Consider the following 19,488-nt stretch of genomic DNA (forward strand, 5'->3'; position numbering starts at 1 on the left):
CAGGGGGGCTGGGGTGCCTGGGAGTGGGAGGTGCAGACACAGGGGCTGGGGTGCCTGGGATTGGGAGGTGCAGACACAGGGGCTGGGGTGCCTGGGAGTGGGAGGTGCAGACACAGGGGCTGGGGTGCCTGGGAGTGGGAGGTGCAGACACAGGGGCTGGGGTGCCCACTCGGAGGCCCCAGGCTGCGGTCCCATGAGGGGATGGCTGAGGCCTTCCCAGGGTGAACACGTACAGGCTCCTGAGAGCGCACACCAGGCCCCCAACTGCCCATGAGAGAATCCGGGAATAGAAGGAGCCGGGATCTCCGTCTTTAAGGTGGAAAGCTTCTTTGGCTGCTATGGAGTGCAGTAGGGTGCTTGGAATGTGAACGAAGGCCACAGAGCTGTGGAAAGACAGTGGGGCGTGGGGCGTGGGGCCTGAAGACATGGCTTATGGCTTGAGTTTTACTACGTATTTGATGACTCTTGTGACATTTACTTAAGTTCTCTGAGTTTCCATTTCACCTTTAAAATTGGGAGAACAATAATGGCGACATTCTGAGCTGGTCAGGTGGCCAGGATGGGCAGAGGCACGAAAACCAATGCCTGCGACATGAGGTGGTCCTGTGAGGTTGACAGAGCCAGGCACAGGGACAGAGAGAGAGAGAGAGAGAGGGAGAGGGAGAGAGAGAGGGAAAAGGGTGCTGAAGCCCAGGAGTTCCCTGTGATTTCACCCTGGGTGGTTCGTCCCTGCTTAGCCGGGATTCTTCATCTGAAATGTGGGTGTGGACATCGTCTGTGAGTGTATTGTGAGGAACATGCAGGAGCTGACCACATCCGTGTCCATGACATGCGGTCAGAGGCTCTGGGTCACTTTGAATTCAGGGCTCTGGCAACAGCTGGGGAGGGCAGCCTGGGACGTTTTCGGGGGAAGGGGGAAGGAAAGGTTTTCAGGACAGTTTGGAAAACCAAAGTTCATTGATGCTCTCCCTCTTCTCCCATGTCTCCAGATGCTGGGGTTTTGTTTTACAAAAATTTAAAATAGTTTTCTGCAGCCACTTTTGTTCTGATCATTATCCAATGAGAAAAGATCACCACCTTTCTGGGAAGAGTTATTGGTGGTTGTCCACCCACCTCACTGAGGTCTCTGCTCTGGGAGGAGGGGAGGAGGCAGTCAGGCTGCTCGGGAGGCTGAGCCCAGGAGTCACCAGCCCTGAGATGTCCCCCAGAGCGGGCGTAGGGTACCACCTGCCAGGAGAGGGGAGCAGCGGGGTCACAGTTCAGGGATGCCCCCACCCATCTACAGGTTTTGCAGGAATCACACATAGTTAGCCTTTGTACCAGAAGCACGGTACAGAGCTCAGCAGTGTGCTTTCAGACAGCCCCACCAGAGAACAGGCCCTTTCCCAGGAGCTTTCGTGTGGGACCCTCAGGGGGGTCGTGGGATGCTGCTGTCCCTGCGTCTGAGTCCTGTTTGTGGGGTGGAACTGGTCACCTGATCTCAGCTGGGCACAGCTAGTGACCAGACAGACACAGCAGATGCTGTCTGGTTTTAGCATAGACTGAGGTTTGGGCAGTTAGGATCTGTGTATCTAGGATTTTGGGAAAAGCCAGTGGCTTTTCTTGGGCAGCGGCAAGGTGAGATGTACCAGGGTCATGTCCCAAGCCCGGTCCAAGCAAGGCTCCCCCATGCCCTTTTGCTTTGTCAGCCAAGGGTCTGTGTTACTCACTCGAGATGTGCACATCAGGCTGGAAACCCGTCAGACTCTAGATGCCACGAGGGCTCATTACTAACTAAAAAGTGCCTTTAAAAACCGTGGAAGAGTGTCTCCATCTGGAGATTGCCTCTCTCCCTGCTCCCCTTTCTCCACAGGCGCTATTGGAAAAAATAACAGCAGCTCTCATCGTTCTGGAGATCTAATTCTCAGGAAGTGTGCATTTCAATCTGCCAGCCACAGCGAAAAGCCATGGTGTCCTAAGCAGCTGTGTCCCCTCTATGTTATTATTCTTTGTGCGGCTTTCTTTGATTGGGATGAGCTCTCTAGCATTTAGGAAATTGCAAGCATATAATATTTTACATCAGTGTAGGTCCTATATTCTGATTCAGTAGCCACAAAATACATTTTTTTTTTTGAAAATCCTCCCTTTCTTTTTTTCCTCATTGGAAGTTTACTGAAACCTCTGGCATTAAACTCAGCATTTACAGGGCTGACATTACAGGTGCCCGGAGGTTTTGGCTGGGAAGCGGGGGTGCTGATGCATCATCAGTGGGAATGTTTTTGTTGTCTCTCTTTAAAAAATGGTCTTTTTTTGTAGAGATGGGCTCTCTGTTGTCCAGGCTGGTCTCGAATTCTAGGCTTCAGTGATTCTCCTCCTCTGGCCTCGAGTCACTGGGACCACAGGTGCATGCCACTATGTCCAGCTAATATTTGTAGAGATGGGGTCTTGCACTGTTTGCTCAGGATGGTCCTGAAATCCTGGGCTTAAGTGATCCTCCTATTTCAGCCTTCCAAAGTGCTGGGATTACAGGCAGGAGCCAATGGGCCCAGCCCTGAGCATTTCTGTTTATCTAAAGCTCTGCTGCCGCCTGTGTAACCTGACCTCACATTTATTCTTCCCACTTCAGGGAGGGAGCAACACACACTTGTAGTGTTTCTGGCACACTCAGCACTCACCTTAGAAATGTTGGGGTCTTTCTCCTCCCACCTGGAGGAGAGAACAGAAAACCAGAGTCCCCACCTGGGATGTACTTTTCCCACTCACATCATCCAGAACAGCCAAAATCCATCTCCAGGTCCAGCATCCCAGCTCTCCTGGGCTTGGACTATCATTTCTAAACTCCATAGATGACTTTTACCTTTCACGGCATTTGGCAGCTCAGCTGCATTTCATGCTGTGGAAGACTCAGGAGCTAACATCTCATCTTCACCTCTTCATCCTTCATTTTCCCAAAGAAAGCTTTCATCGTATTTCAGTGAGGCAGAGTCATGTTAGCCAACCCCACTTCTGACACCAACTTCACTGGGGTCCTTAAGACCAACTACAGACTTGGTGATTTGCTAGGATTCACAGGGCTCAGCATGAGGTTTTACTCACAGGTAGAATTCATTACAGTGAAAAGACATAGAGCTAAGCCAGCAAAGGGAAAAGGTGCACAGGTTGGAGTCTGGAGGAAGACAGTGCAGGCTCCCAAAACTCCCTCCCAGGAGAGCCACACGGGCATGTTTGCCTCTCCAGTGATGCGTTGCAAGGGTGTGCGGAACACCATCTATCAGCGCTGCTCATCGGAGCCTGGGAGTTCGGGGTTGGATTGTGGGTTGGCCACATGGGCATATTGAGCTTGCGTGACTGACCACAATCCGAATTCCTGACTTTCAGAAGAAAATCAGGTGCTCAGCTGGCATCACATTGTTTATACAGAGGGTGTGCGCACAGTGAGGAACTCTTACAATTTTAGGGGCTATTTTATACCAGACCACAGGGTAGAGAAATGTTTACCAGTTGAGTGCTCAGACACAGGATGGCCACTTTTCCAGGCAGCCTTTCTAGGGATCGCATTCTCAGGCTTGCTGCTTGCCTTTCTGCACAGCGTGTCATCAGTGGGAAAAAAAAATCATACGGCGAGATTTTACATTTTTTAATGTGAAGTCCTTGAAATCCAGTGTGTATTTTTATGCACCGGACACTTTGGTTTTGACTGGCCACGTTTCATATGTGCGGCACCCGCGTGTCTGGTGGCTGCTCTGTGGGAAAGTAGAGCTCCGGTGTGTGGACGTCATGACGCGGCCATCCCGCCACAAGCACAGCAAGAACCGCTGTGTACAAGATCATGTGGAGGAGGTGGCGTGTGGACGTCGTGATGTGGCCATCCCGCCACAAGCACAGCGAGAACCGCTCTGTACACGATCATGTGGAGGAGCTGGCATGTGGACGTCGTGATGTGGCCATCCCGCCACAAGCACGGCAAGAACCACTGTGTACAAGATCATGTGGAGGATCTGGCATGTAGACGTCGTGATGTGGCCATCCCGCCACAAGCACAGCGAGAACCGCTCTGTACACGATCATGTGGAGGAGCTGGTAGTAAATTTTGATCTAACGCACTATTTAGTGAAACATTATGGATTAGATTGAAAATTGTCAAAAGTTAATGAAGGTATCTGAACAGTGTGTGCTTAAATTTCTCATCCAGAATTCCAGGAAGTCAACCTTAATCTCTCATAGATAAGATTTGAATCTGTCAGTGTTGAAGATCAATAGTGAAGACATCAAGATCTCCCTGCAGATGATTAATTTTGAGATTACAAACATAACACAGCTTTGTTTTCACAAATCTGTGACTTGTTTTGGCGTAGAGACCATTTGGTATCTAACTATATTGTATAATTTGCCCAAATGAGGAAGGCAGTATGACTGTTGCTCAGAAAATATTTTGCTGCTGATCTGTTAGGTGGTAACTGATCCCTGTGGGGTGATCCAGTGGGCGGTAACCCGTCCCTGTGAGTGATTCACTGGGTGGTAACCAGTCCCTGTGGGTGATCCAGTGGGTGGTAATTGATCCTTGTGGGTGATCCAGTGGATTGTAACCAGCCCATGTGGGTGATCCAGTGGATATGGTAACCAGTCCATGTGGGTGATCCAGTGGGTGATAACTAATCCCTGTGAGTGATCCAGTGAGTGGTAACCAATCCCTGTGGGTGATCCAGCAGGTGGTAATTGATCCCTGTGGATGACCCAGTGGGTGACAACTGATCCCTGTAGGTGATCCAGTGGGTGGTAACCAGTCCCTGTGGGTGATCCATTGGGTGGTAACCAGTCCATGTGGGTGATCCAGTGGGTGGCAGTCGATCCCTGTGGCTGACCCAGTGGGTGGTAACATCCCTGCAGGTGACTCAGTGGGTGGTAGCTGATCCATGTGGGTGATCCAGGGGGTGGTAACCAGTCAATATGGGTGATCCAGTGGGTGGTAATGATCCCTGCGGGTGATCCAGTGGTTGGTAACGACTTTGTGCAGGTGATCCAGTCAGTGGCAGCCAATCCCTGCAGGTGATCTGGTGGGTGGTAACTGATCCATGTGGGTGATCCAGGGGGTGGTAACCAGTCGATATGGGTGATCCAGTGGGTGGTAATGATCCCTGCGGGTGATCCAGTGGTTGGTAACGACTTTGTGCAGGTGATCCAGTCAGTGGCAGCCAAACCCTGCAGGTGATCTGGTGGGTGATAACTGATCCATGTGGGTGATCTGGTGGGTGGTAACTGATTTTCCTAGTGATCTGTGGAGTGATAGTTGGTCACTTCTGGGTGTTTAACACAATCTATGTGTTAGATGTGACTAATTCAAGAGCAAAGTTCTTTCCACCCCAATTTCTGTTCTGTTCAGTTTGGGAATTCTTTGACAGAAACCTGTATTGGGGAGAATGAGGATTCAGTGCACAAAACACCCCTAAGAACCATGACTTTTGTTTTTATTTTTCCATTATCTGACTGGTTTATAAAAAGTGTGAGCAGTGTTTTAAATCCAAGGCACCAGCAGCTGATGGCTGCTTCTGGTCCCCTTCCCTGCACTCCTGTCTATGTCCTCCCTCCTGGGAGTGGATCTATGCATCTCTCCTTGGCCTGTCACCAGAAACAATTCTCAGAATCAGGTCATTGGCCTATGGAGAAAGAGTGAGTTTCTAGACCCCTTTTGAAACTGACATGTTGTTTGACCTTGAATACAGGTGTAGCATTTCTGTGTTTATTGTTAGACTTTAAATTTTCCTAGTTTACTAGCAGCTAGAAATACTAAACTCACGAAGAATGAGGCTGAGCCCCGGACAAGCTGAGGTCACCATTTCCCTCCCTGCCCCATCTTTGTCTCTTCTTACTCAGCCCGGAGAACAGCTAAAAACGCCACCACTTAACGTGCATTTGTGTAAGAGTTTGTTCCCCCAAAAAGCCTATTGAGCATTACTTGTGGTTTATAAGTTTAAGGAATGAACATTGAGTCATTTCTTTAGCAGCATCTTTATTGGGAACATTTACAGGGAACATTTTCTAATTTTCTCCAAGTTAATTCCTTTTCTTGCTTTTGCTCTCTCTCTCACTCTCTCCCTCTCCTCCCTCTCTCGCTCCCTCGCTGTCCATTTCCCCCTCTCTCTCTGCGTGTGTCTCTTTGCCTACATTAATGTTGTTTTGTCTGAAATATGTGTGTTGAAGTTCCCATGTTTCCTTGAAGACATGGGAAGTTCCTGGAAAGTAACGAGACTGATCTTCTCCTGTGCCCTTTTAAGAAGTTAGTTGATGACTGTGCCCCACTTTGCTGCATGGTCTCTGGGGGGTTGAACTCCTTTGCTCCTGAATAGGCGTAAACTTGCCTTCCAGGGCTGCAGCCTCCTGTGCTCAGCACCCCCATTTGTGTGTCCCTGTGATTGCAGGAAGGCTCTGGGAAGCTGCGCTTGGGCAAACCCTTAGCGTGACCCCCTGACTCCCCCAGGGAGTCACACATTGATTGTCATCTGATCTCCTGGGATGTGTATTGGCATTTGTCTGAGTAACTTGGTGCTTCTGTGAGAATAGTGCTGTTTCTTAGGTTTTTTTTTTTTTTTTGACAGTCTCACTCTGTCATCCAGGCTGGAGTGCAGTGGTGCGATCTGGGCTCATTGCAAGCTCCGCCTCCCGGGTTCACACCATTCTTCTGCCTCAGACTCCCGAGTGTCTGGGACTACAGGCGCCCGCCACCACGCCCGGCTAATTTTTTGTAGTTTTTGTAGAGACGGGGTTTCACCATATTAGCCAGGATGGTCTCGATCTCCTGACCTTGTGATCTGCCCGCCTTGGCCTCCCAAAGTGCTGGGATTACAGGCGTGAGCCACCGCGCCCGGCCCGTTCCTTAGTTTTTACTTGTCACACAGTGTGCATGACAGAGTGACTAGATAGGGGTTCTTTCTGTTTTTATTTCTAGATTGAAATTTTGCATGGTAACAGCAGACAGGTAATACCTGTCTAGGTGGCTGCCACCGCAAAGCCCATGTTATCACTCTGAGTGTCAGGACTGAGTGCCATAGTGGTCTTGAGAATTCTCTATGAACTCTGTGGACTGCAGAGCCCTTCTCATTACAAAAGAACTGCCATTACACACAGATAGAAACAGCAATAGCACAGCAGCTCCCCCGTCCCTGACGGTGGCTGCCAGCAGCCTTCGTAGCACAGTCTGTGCATAAAGCAGGAGGAAAAGCCACCGGCCGCCCTGTCCTGCTGCCGGGGTTGCGCACCGGGCGAGGGCTCTGGGACGTCGGGTAGCAGCACCACCTGCTGGACACCGGTGGCTGCACTCGGCTGCACCTGCGGCTGGAACGGCTTCAGGCTCCCAGGAAGGCGCCTCCCAAGAGAGACTTTCTAGTTCCCTCTGGGATGGCATCCCTGGCTCCGGGTGCGCCCGCATCTGCCAGGAAGACTGTCTTTCAATTGAACACAGCAGCCGAGTCATGCTTTACAGTTGTTCTTACTGTAAGAACAACCCAGGAGCCCGGGGAGCTGCATCTGCAGGGCTGCCCCACACTCTCTACCAGGAATCTCCCGGGGTCCACTCTCGTTCCTGTCAGGGGCTGGGCGCCAGGTGGTTTGGGCCCTGGGGACGGGGGCAGGGGTCCTGGCAGCAGAGGGGTCCTGTCAGCAGGGGCTCCCTCACACAGGACGTAATTTTGCGGGAAGGATTTTCATGTTGCGCTGGCCTTGCACTTGCTGCGACAGGCCCCTTACGTCCGCGCGGCTCAGCCCTGCCCTTACACGAAGCGTAGAGACGGTGGCGGCTGTGTTCCAGTAAGATGTGGCCCGTGGAGCCTGTGGTGGCTGCAGGTTGCTGATCCTGGACCCACAGGTTGCCGGGCCCCTCGGTGTGCCTGCCAGTCTCACACCAACCGGCCCAGGCCCCGCTGGCTTCAGCCTGGTCACCACCTCCACGCGCGGCGCTGTCTGCTCTTGGCCGGGCCATCCTGTCCTGGCCCTCCCTGCCCACGGCTCCGGGAAGGGCTCTGCCAAGAGACTTCTCCATTCCCACCCGTCACTTTTGAGGATCCGGCTCCCCGGTCCCTCCTGTGCCAGCCAGCATGTGCCATGGCTCCCCGACCCTGTGCCAGCCCGTGTGTGCCATGGCTCCCGACCCCGTGCCAGCCCATGTGTGCCATGGCTCCCCAACCCTGTGCCAGCCCGTGTGGGCCATGGCCCCACCGAACCCGTGCCAACCCGCGTGTGCCATGGGTTCCACCGACCCCGTGCCAGCCCGCGTGCGCCATGGCTTCCCTGATCCCATGCCAGCCCGCGTGTGCGCCATGGCTCCCCCGACCCCGTGCCAGCCCGCGTGCGTCATGACCCCACCGCGTGTGCGCCATGGCTTCCCCGACCCCATGCCAGCCCGCGTGCGCCATGGTTCCACTGACCCTGTGCCAGCCAGTGCGGGCTGATCTGCTGCCCAGCTGTGGGCGTCCTGAACCCCAGGCCGTGGGACAACTTGGGCCGGGAGAGAAGATCTTTCACTTTGATTTGGGGCATAGGTGGAGGCTCCCCCTACGGCCCTGTGTGGAGGACCCTGTTTCCTGGGTGCTGTGATGCCACTGGCCTCGACCCTGGCTCCTCATGCGTGTCGCCTGCGGGCGTGAGGTCCGTGCAGAGGAAGGAAGAAAGAGGAAGTAAGACGTGAGCTCGGCCAGCCCCGGGTGCAGGAGGAGTGGGCGAAGCGGGCGACAGGGTCCCATGCCTTCCCCTTCCTTCCTCAGGCCCGGCCTCCATCTCTCCCACCACACCAGGCGCCTGCTGGGTGATGGCGGGGTCACAGCAGGGGAGACGTTGGCTCCTCCGCTCTGCTCCCTGAGCCCCACGGGGCCTGAGTGCAGAGGAAGGAGGTGAAGTAAGCGGTGACAGTGGGTTCCTCAAGGCGCCGTGGAAGGCGAGGCTGCGTTCTCAGAGCCAGGCCGGGGTTGCAGTGTGGAAATGCCGCGGCGCTGCCCGGCCCCACGTCTCCCTGCTGCTCCAGCGCAGCCCAGGCCACCCTTCTCACTGCCCCTGGGGCTGAGTGAGCAGGGCTCAGGCCGTGGGGAGCCAGCCTTGTCAGACACTGCCTTTCGCCATGAGTGACCGGGCAAACACCTCATGCTTTGGAGCAGAGGCGCGTCCTGGCCTGAAGCCACTCGGGAGCCAGGGCTGGTGTTAGGGTGGGAGCAGGGCCCGTGGGCGTGACTGCCGCCATCTTGGCGGGGGGACGCCAGGGTGAGAGCAGGGCCCGTGGGCGTGACTGCCGCCATCTTGAGGAGTCGCCGGGGTGGGAGCAGGACCTGTCGGGGTGGCTGCCGCCATCTTGAGGGGACGCCAGGGTGGGAGCAGGGCCCGTGGGCGTGACTGCCGCCGTCTTGAGGGGATGCTGGGGTGGTTGGAGGTCGTGGCTCTGGAGAGGTTGGGTATTTAGAGATACAGCTGAAGGGATTTGTGGGTGGAAAGGACGTGTGGTTCCTGGAGTAGATGGGATCAGGGATGCATCAAGGGTCCAGCCTGTGCTGTGGAAAGCCAAGTTGCCATTTGTCGGCAGGAAAAGGAGGAACTTTCCTAGTTCAGGCACAGGTGCGGACCAGGCCGTTGGGCGTGAGTCTGGGATTCAGGATGGGTTCGTGGCAGACACCACGCTGGATAGTCCCAGCTGTAGACAGTGTTTAGAGCCACGGATTGGCTGGGGCCGCCCAGGAGTGAATGCGGATCCAGGAGAGAGGATGAGGAGGGAGGGGTCTGCAAGAGGAGCCCTGGGCTTCCGGAGCTGAAACTCGGGAAGATGCGAACATTCAAGCAGAAAAGAAGAGGAAGGCACAGTCGGGCCAGTGCCTGCCGGGGCAGGACCCCACACGTGGGCGCGTGCCAGGGCGTGTGCTCCCCAGGACGGGCCTCCCCGCTGCAGCTTCCTCATTGTGGGTCACTCTTTTTCTGGCAGGTCCTCTTTCTCCTACATGTCCTCGTTCCCACCCCCCTTGCAGTGTCCCCGGTTGTCCTCAGGTCAGTTCAGGGACCCGGCAGATGTTCTGCTGTCAGGAACGGGCAGAGAGTAGAGCTAAGAGGCTTTTGTGGGGGCCGTCCTGGGACGCAGGTCACGCGGGCCCTCCAGAGAACACAGGCACCCACAGTGACCCTTTGGTCTAATGGAACCGGCGCTTTTCTCTTGGTGGCAGATGAGTAAAAATAGCGTTGATTTTCTGCTAACAGGAAATGGGAGTCGTGGAAGATACTTATCTGGGCCCAGCAGCTTTTAGTACATTTTCAAAGCGAGGCACACACACAAAGAGACACTCGGACAAATCGCTGCAATGTGTCCCGTCTTGCTTCTCCAGGGGACCCAGGTCTTTAGGACGCCTTATCTGCCCGGCAGCACCTGCCTTGGTGCCGCGGGGCTCAATACTCAGGGACTGCAAGTGAAGTCACCTGGAACGGGAGAGTCCAAAACAGTGACTCGGGGCTGGGTTTTCAATCTCATGCCCGGCTGAAGTTAATTTTGTGATCTCAAGATGCAGCTTCTTGATAACATGGTACCAAAAATCATGAGGAAATACAGCATGGCCCATTTTGCTTTATTTGATGATTGTGATACAATTTGACAGGGACGCAGATTTACAAAAGAGCACTTCCCAGAGAAAATCATTCAATATCCCTTTGTTCAACCTTTTAATTATTCAAAGAATACATAAAATAATGCCTCTTACCAAGCGCTTCCTGCGGGTCACGTCATGTCACTTGCAGCACCATTTATGAAGGAACATTTGGTATACAGGTGAGAAAACATCTTTGAAGATAAAATACAGCACAGTTAGTAAATTGTAAGAGCGAAATCTAAACCTGACCTGTTCATCTGACCATTACTTCTCACCTTTCCTTGTAGAAAAATTTGTAGAATATTTCTTTTTTTCTTTTTCTTTTTTTTTTTTTTTTTGAGATGGAGTCTCGCTCTGTCACCCAGGCTGGAGTGTAGTGGCACGATCTTGGCTCACTGCAACCTCCGCCTCTCGGGTTCAAGCATTTCTCCTGCCTCAGCCTCCCGAGTAGCTGGGATTACAGGCATGTGCCACCGTGCCCGGCTAATTTTTTTGTATTTTTTTAGTAGAGATGGGGTTTCACCATATTGGCCAGGCTGGTCTCGATTTCCTGACCTTGTGGTCCACCCGCCTCAACTTCCCAAAGCGCTGGGATTACAGACGTGAGCCACCGCGCTCGGCCCTAGAATATTTCTTATATTAAAAGATCGAGTGAAGCCAAGGAAAAATTCACCTGTATCTCCTGCCCTGCAGTAATCACTTTGATTATTTGGATTCCTATTTTGTTTATATTTTCTTCACATAGACCATGTAAATAGCATAAGAATATGCATACTACATTCTATTTTTTTAACTTAACATTGTATTGCCAATATCTTTCCATATTCATTTTTCCAAAACATTATTTATCATATTCCATTGTGTGCCTATACCATAATTTACTTCAATTATAGGATATCTATCTTGTTTCTGATATTTTGTTACTTTAAAAAATAGTGCAGTGACTCTGTGTCTTTTCACACATTGGATAAATGTATTCTGTTGCCCTGGCTGGAGTGCAGTGGTGTGATCTCGGCTCACTGCAAACTCTGCCTCCCAGTTCAAGTGATTCTCCTGCCTCAGCCTCCCAAGTAGCCAGGATTACAGGCACCTGCCACCACACCTGGCTATTTTTTTGTTTTTATTTTTTAATAGAGATGGGGTTTTGCCATGTTGGCCAGGTGGGTCTTGAACTCCTGACCTCAGGTGATCTGCCCGTCTTGGCCTCCCAAAGTGCTGGGATTACAGGCGTGAGCCACTGCACCTGGCTGATAAATGTATTTTAAAAGGGAAAGCACACTTTTAGTACCCTTGATAATTATTGCGTTCATGAAGCTTTTCCTAGTTCATGCTCACTATTTTTAATAACTCAGAAGATGTGTACTGCGTGGCATGCTGTGCTGGGACATGTCCAGGTGCTCCTTGCAGGCATTAGAGCATCGTCATTCAGACGGGTCCTCACCTGGGGCGTCATGCATTTCCTAGATCAGATGAGTTTTAAAGGAGGAGAGTAACTAATGACCTTAGTGGCTAAAGGCGGTCTCAAATCCATGTTTATCTTACCCCCTTTTCCCACAACTGTTAAGAAACAATCATTTCAAGGCCCTGGTAGACTCATTGGAACCACTTGGAAGCAAAGTAACTTGAAGAGTAAGGGGATGAGTTCTGGGCATGCCGTTTGCTCCTGCTGATCCTGACTCTGGTTCCTCCACTTGGACTTTGTCCTTGCCCTCCCGGGAGTGCCCTCTCCCAGTGGGTTCTCCTCCAGTGGCACTGACCTCTCCTTTTTGGTTGAGTTTTCTAGTTCCATTTTCTCTCCAGGTGTGGAGGAGTGCAGGCCTCCTGCCCAGCTCATGGAGCCTGCATTGATGGAACCACCTTGTAAAATAATCCGACCCATTTTGCAGAGCTGAAAGGATGTGCCTCCTTGTGACCCCATATTTCCCAGTACATCCTAGAGCCCAGGTTTTTAACTTTCAGAGCTTAGGACCTCTTGATGCTATTACTAAGGGCCAACAATTCCCCAGAGCTTCTGTTTATGTCTCTTGATGTTTATTGCATTCGAAATTAAAATGGAGAACATTTCAAATTATTTAGTGCTTCATTTAAAAATAATCCTTTGGGAGGCCAAGGATCATTTGAGGTCAGGAGTTCAAGACCAGCCTGGCCAACATGGTGAAACCCCGTCTCTACTAAAAATACAAAAATTAGTTGGGTGTAGTGGTGGGCGTCTATAATCCCAACTACTCAGGAGGCTGAGGTGGGAGAATCATTTGAGCCAGGGAGATGGAAGCTGCAGTGAGCTGAGATCACGCCACTGTACTCCAGCCTGGGTGACAGTGTGATACATGATCTCAAAAAAATAAAAATAAAATAAAAATAATCAACATATTTCATATTAATAAAAGAAACAGGTATATATGAAAAAACACCTATTGTCCACAAAACACCTTACCAAATTTGTGATGAGTAGCATTATTTTATGTTATTTTTTCAGACTTCTCTAATTTCTGGTATATTAGAAGCATGTGGAGTCTCATGTTTGCATCTTTGATGTGACATGTTATTTTGGTTCAGGTATATGAAGAAAATGCATTCTCACACAAATATGGAGTTAGGCCATATTGATAAACACTTTGTCATTCCTTATGTTGAAATCTGTTGGTCTGTTTTATGCTTTGGAAGGTTCTTTTGCTCATACATGAGATTATAGCATCATGCACTGGTCATTTGGAAATTATTGGTTCACTGAATTATGCAGGTCTTCAAAATGCTGACAGATCCTATACAACATGGAAAAATCTCATTCATTAATATCACTACCAATTTCATCAGAAAAGCCTTTAAAGTTTTGGAAAGCTTCCTGGCTCATGGTGTTAAATACAGATATTCGAAATTTCTATGTTTCTTTTTTTTCTTTTTTCTTTTTTTTGAGATGGAGTTTCGCTCCATTGCCCAGGCTGGAGTGCAGTGGTGCATTCTTGGCTCACTGCAACCTCCGCCTCCCAGGTTCAAGCAATTCTCTGCCTCAGCCTCCCGAGTAGCTGGGATTACAGACACTTGTCACCACGCCCGGCTAATTTTTGTATTTTTAGCAGAGACGGGATTTCGCCATGTTGGCCAGGCTGGTCTTGAACTCCTGACGTCGTGATCCACCCACATCAGCTTCCCAAAGTGCTGGGATTACAGGCGTGAGCCACCGTGCCTGGCCCAAATTTTTAAATTTCTAATTTTTGCTTGGAAGCTTAAATTTGATCACTGATAGCAAATACTTTCAGTTGTTTTTCTGAAAGTTATAGTGTCTTTGATTCTTTTTTAAAAATAGAATGTCTGCCATGTTGCCAAATCCCAATGACTGTGGTTTTGTCCATCAGTCTTTTTTCACATAAAAACAGAGTTGCGTGAAAGAAAGTGCCGAGTGGAGCTGACGCTGTCACAGTGAAATTGAGAAAGAAAGTGCCGAGTGGAGCTGACGCTGTCACAGTGAAATTGAGTGCTTCCGTTTAAGACAGTCGTTTCCTTTGCAGCAGAAGCGCTTTATGGGACTTTCCATTTGGTCAGTCACTCAGATGGCTGAAAAGAGCTGAGATTTAATAAAACTGATCTTGGTTGATGCCTCATCAAGGATGTTCTTTAGTGAAACAGACTCTTTTTAAACTGCAAGTGTTTGCTGTGGAAGGTGCCATGAGGACTTGTGCCACTGGTGCTGGCTGTGTTGACTTCTTTGGAGACACCAGCAAGCAGCTAGCTCTCCCCTATGTGTGCACTGTTAGGCAACCCTCATCATTATAATGAAAGTAGTTTTGACGTCTTGAACCCCTGAAAGAGTGTCAGTGGCTCCCAGGAAAAGGTTGTCCACACTGCCTAAGAGAAATTTTTTTAAGGTGCATAATGTGGCATTTTTAAAGTTACCAGTTTTTTGTGTAGTGAGAAAATTCGAGATCTATTCTCAGCACATTTTATGTGCGCAATACAGTATTATTAACTATAGTCACCATGTTGTACAATAGAACCCCAGAACCTGTTCATCTATAAGTGAAAATTTGTATTACCCTTTGACATTTCTCCATCCCTCTCGCCTCCCTTCAGCCCCTAGGAGAAACTCTTATACAAGTGACCAAGAAATGTGTTCAAAATGTTCACGGACGCAGTATCTGTAATACTAAAATTTGGAAACACATATAAATGTTCATTGACTAGAGAATGTATAAATTGTGTTGTATTTATAATGTAACTGAATATTACACAGCAGTGGAAAATGAACTGCAGCTTCATACATCAGAAAGGGTATATCTTAGAAACATCCCATAGAGAATAAAAAGCAAGTCATACAGGGAGACATATAATAGGATTGGATTTAGATAAAGTTTAAAAACCTGGAAAATAAGCAATATATTGATTATGGTTACATATATGATACAACCATAATAAAAATCAAGGGACTAATTAGTTGAAAATGCATGACACTGGTTAGCCTGGGTGGGGAAGAAGATGGCCAGGGAGTTGTGTCCAGGAGTCTTTGAGGGTAGGGCTGGTATGGTAGGTTCATTGATGTAACTTTCCTTGTTATTCTGAATACCTTAGATGTATAGGTGTTAGTTTGCTGTGTCTAATATTTGACTAAATTAGAAAAATTTTAATGGTCTTTCCATTTCAAATGGTCATCAGTTGTTCCCTAACTGCCTAGAAGAGAACGAGGATTTTTAAAAAGACAAGCAAATAGCATTCCACAGAACGGTTTCATTTTCAGTACAGAACTGCCAGTGCCTGTTGTACCAATTTGTCTCTGCTTGGCCAATATTGATCTCTGTGAAAGGCCATGAGAGTTTGAAGGTTTGCCATTGACACCAGGCGTCATCACCTGGCAGGTCTTCATGCTCATGGAAGCTCACCCGTGTATGCTGTATTTGAGTTTGCTTCCCGAAGACTGCGAGCCTGTCTCAGAAACCACCTTCCCAGGTGCACATTTGCCTCTTCACCTCACATATGTTTATGGAGTTAAACCTGTGGTGCCTTTCTTTTCATAGTATCCCCCTTACAGCTTTCCAAGTGCCCAGCGAGGCCTCTCAATGTCAGAAGCAGGTGCGTCGCTCTGTTTCCACCCACTGGAATCTTGTGTGTCCATTCATCCTCCTCCCTCCTCCCCACTGCTGCCTGCCCCAGTGTCAGTTTTTGGAAGTAAATTCTACCTTCTCTGTGTGCTGCTCTGTGTGAGGTTCCTTGATCCCCATTTCTGAGCCCCGGGTTGGGTGGGCTTCCTTCTTGGCTTGTCTGCCTTAACAGGGTTGCTGCACACGGATGTTACTCATTTATAATACGTGGGATCTACTACTTGGAGTGACAGTGCTCCGTTTTTCTTTTTTTCCCCAAAACTTCAAGGCTTTTTTCACTTAATGTTCCAGATAAACTTTTGAATTATTATCCCAACTTCCTCAAAAAGTCTTACATGAATTTTAAATAGGATTGCATTGTTGCAATCTTCCGGCTTGGGAAGAATGGACATATTCCCAATATCTTACCTTGTTGAACAAATGTGGTGCCCTTGCCATTTGCAGCTCTCTGTTCTCATCTGTAGTTTTCCTGGGAACAACAAGGGGTGGCGGCCTTGAGTGGCATGTGTTGCTCGGTATTAAGAACACAGACAGCAGCCCAGACCGCCCAGATTGAAGTCTTGGCTTTAACCTTTTGGGCCCTGTGACTTTGGGAGGCTTATTAACCCCTCTTCCTTCATAGCCCTCTTCAGAAAGATGGGGTGATGGTGGAGTTAAATTCCCTGGTGGGGCTGTTTTGAGGATGGTTACCAACACAGGCCAAATGTTGACACTAGTACCAAGCACATTGTATAAAGCAAGCTTGAGATATATAATTTGTGTGTGCGTCTGGTGCATTTCTTTTGAGTTTATTTCTCACGGGCTTCACTTCCTGTGCAGTGGTGGATGTGATATTGGAAACTTTTCCACTGTGCACAGCGTCTGAAGACTTGCAGCCGACAAGTTGTGCTCCCCAGGAGCTCAAAAGCTGCTTGGCAAGGCCAGGCCTTGTTAGGAAAACACAGTGGGCCCCAGAAAGCTCATGGTTATTTGGTGCATGAACGGTATTGACAGGGTCACAGTGAGTGTGTGGGGGTGGCTGGAGATCACTGCAGGCTGGTGTGGCCAGTGAAGGCCAAATGAGAGGACCCTCTCAGCTCTGAGAATCATCTGTCCACCCGCTGGTTCCTGGCATGACAGGGGCCACAGCCCAGACACCACTCAGAGTTTTCTGAAGGACCAGGGCAGGAGGGGCCACAGAGCCACGCATCGTGGGCATCAAAACACCCCTGAAACCTGATATTTTAGACTGCTGCCTCCGTTTTCCTACACCCACATTCCATTTACAGATCTAATACATGTGATGGCAAAATAGCCAAAGATTTTCCACACTTGTCAATTCCAGTTACTTAGGCAAGGGAAGCCCTCTCCAATCTGTCCTGAGGTCTAACCATGATTCAGGGTTTATTTTATGCTTTTCCAGGTACTTTAGTGCACATGTGTCACTGTTTAAATGGTATTTAAGTGGGAACAGGATTATTGTGGTTGTCCAGCAACTTGCTTCTGTCATTTCTTATACATTTCCATGAGAGAATGGATGAAATTGAGTTTTAATTTTGTTTTCACATTTCACACCTCCCCTCCTGTTCATCAGAGCTATCTTACTAGATTGCTCCAAGACACACACATCAGGGTCTAAGAAATGTCACCTGTCAGTTGTCCTGGCTTATAATTTCAAGCACCCAAGCTGGTTGGAAAGCTCAGACCATTTGCAAAGATGTGGGAGAGGAGGTTTTCTTAAAGAATCAGAGTCAGTTGGAAACATGGGGAATGAGGCCTTTAGCTGGCTTCGGAGAGAGTCCTGGACCTGGCATAGGATGGATAACGGCAAGAGCTGGGGGCCTTTGAAGGCAGGGTCAGTGCTTGTGGGACAGCCAGAGGCCCCTCCAGGGCCTCCTGTCTTCCCCATGGCACCACGGATGACCCTGGAAGAGGAGCCAGGGAAACCCAAGGGTGCATTCCATCGGCCCTGTGTGTGGAGTTCAGGTTAAAAGTTGTCCTTCGTTGATCTATAGAAAACGCAGGGCTGCTGTGTCTTGGAAGCTGGGTTTAAAGCGTATTTTTCACCCGTGACTCCATTATGCTCAGAACTCTCATATGTCCAAAACACCAGCCTAGAGATGCTGATATTAGGCCACTGCTGATGTGTATTTGGATTGTGTCCATGTTCTACCGTTAGAAACGGGCAGCAGTGTTCATCTTTGTGCTCCTGTCATTATTTCAGAGGGATACGTTGTTGCAATTTCTTAGTGTTGAAATAGTCAAATGACTGTCCTACATAATGACCGTCATTAATGACAGTATCTCTAATGCCTTACCCTTGTCAGTCTAGTTTTATTAATCTTTCAAAAATCTTTGTCATTCAGCTGTGTTTATTTTATTCCAGCAGAAATGAACATTTTAGAAGAAGGTGTAGGCTGGTAATAATATGTGTCTAATTGGTATAGTTTCTCATTATGAAAGAAATTATATATGGGAAAAATATTTTAAAAATATTTTTATTGTGGGAAAAATATATTAAAAACATAGGATTTCCCTCACCTGCCATTTTAAATGTCCAATTCAGTGACATACAATACGTTCCTGGTGCTGTGTGACCCTCACCACTGTCCACCTCTGAAACTCCGTCATCCCTGTAGAAACTCTGTGTCATTAAACAGCAGCCCTCGCTAACCCACCCCCAGCCCCTGGCAGCCTCTGTTCATTCTTTCTGTGTCTATAAATCTGACCATTCTAGATGTTTCTCAAAAGCGGAGTTATACAATATTTATAATGTTGATCTGGCTTATTTCAGTTAGCATGATGTTTTCAAGATTCATTTATGTGGTGGCCTGTGTCAGAACTGCATTCCTTTATATGTCTGAACAGTAATCCATTGTGTGGACACCCCCCCACCGCCGCCATGTTTTGTCGATCCATTCATCTATTGATGGGCATTTGGGCCATTTCTGCCTTTGGCTGTTGTGAATAGTCAACAGTGGACACTGGGGCATGAGTATGCGTGCAGGTCCCAGTCTTCCCCTCCGTTGCTCATCTCCCTCGGGAATGACCTACAAGTGGAATTGCAGGGTCATATGGTGATTCTGGTTTTCATTGTTTCTGTGGGGATGAGAGATGGAAGCGGCTCATTCAGACATCTTTCTGGAATAGTGTTTTGCAGGCATTCCAGTGATTGTAATGCCATTAGTTATTGGAAATTAAACTAGACCTCCAAAAAAAAAAAAAAAAAAAAAACTTTTCCCGGGGATGTTAATGATGGGAAAGACCCAAGAAAAATCAAGCCATGCAAATGGAAGCCTCGTGCTTCTGTGTTGTATTTAGGGCATATTTCTGTATCTAGCATACCAAAGGTTAGAAGAGTTTCAGTAGTTTAGTTGAACCAAGTCTTCAACTATTGAACCAAGGTATTGAAATGGAAAGGGCATATTGTGAGACTTAGAATGGGAGCAGGATCTACAGGAAAAGATTTGATGATGGGACAGGAGACAGTTGCTCGGAAATCTTATACATACAAACTATGCAATGAGAACATAAGGTGGCTTGATATGATTTTATTAAAGAAAATTTAGATGTTTTGGTGTGTGGGCTTTTGAAGCATTGATGCTGAAGATTATGCAGCAACAAAATGTCTTTCCACGGATACAATCCAAATTCAGTGAGAAGGGCATGCTATGATAATATCCACATAATTTTAATTATGGCTATGTAGAGGGTGCTTGCATATGACTAAAAGCTAACAGTAATAAAGTGATAATATGTATTGTGTCAGGGTAGTTGGATAAAAATATATTTCCTAATTTTTTAATAAACTTGCTTATACGTCTCCAAAAGACATG

General features: G+C 48.7%; 1 protein-coding gene across 2 annotated transcripts in view, besides 2 other annotated features; it reads left to right on the plus strand.

Moving 5' to 3' along the window:
* The window catches only part of DLGAP2 (DLG associated protein 2), a 970,849-nt gene that overhangs the window by 202,091 nt on the left and 749,270 nt on the right, over window positions 1–19,488 (plus strand). The gene's annotated exons all lie outside the window — the stretch shown is intronic.
* Window positions 768–1,268: an enhancer, noted in NCBI's record as "H3K4me1 hESC enhancer chr8:890486-890986 (GRCh37/hg19 assembly coordinates)". NCBI's record gives its function as "activates a minimal SCP1, AML or CMV promoter by ChIP-STARR-seq in naive H9 embryonic stem cells {active_cell/tissue: H9 hESC(naive)}" and the evidence as "EXISTENCE:reporter gene assay evidence [ECO:0000049][PMID:30033119]".
* Window positions 9,447–10,410: an enhancer, noted in NCBI's record as "H3K27ac-H3K4me1 hESC enhancer chr8:899165-900128 (GRCh37/hg19 assembly coordinates)". NCBI's record gives its function as "activates a minimal SCP1, AML or CMV promoter by ChIP-STARR-seq in naive H9 embryonic stem cells {active_cell/tissue: H9 hESC(naive)}" and the evidence as "EXISTENCE:reporter gene assay evidence [ECO:0000049][PMID:30033119]".

This window comes from Homo sapiens, chromosome 8, assembly GCF_000001405.40.
Source record: "Homo sapiens chromosome 8, GRCh38.p14 Primary Assembly".
In the NCBI taxonomy this organism is placed as follows: domain Eukaryota; kingdom Metazoa; phylum Chordata; class Mammalia; order Primates; family Hominidae; genus Homo; species Homo sapiens.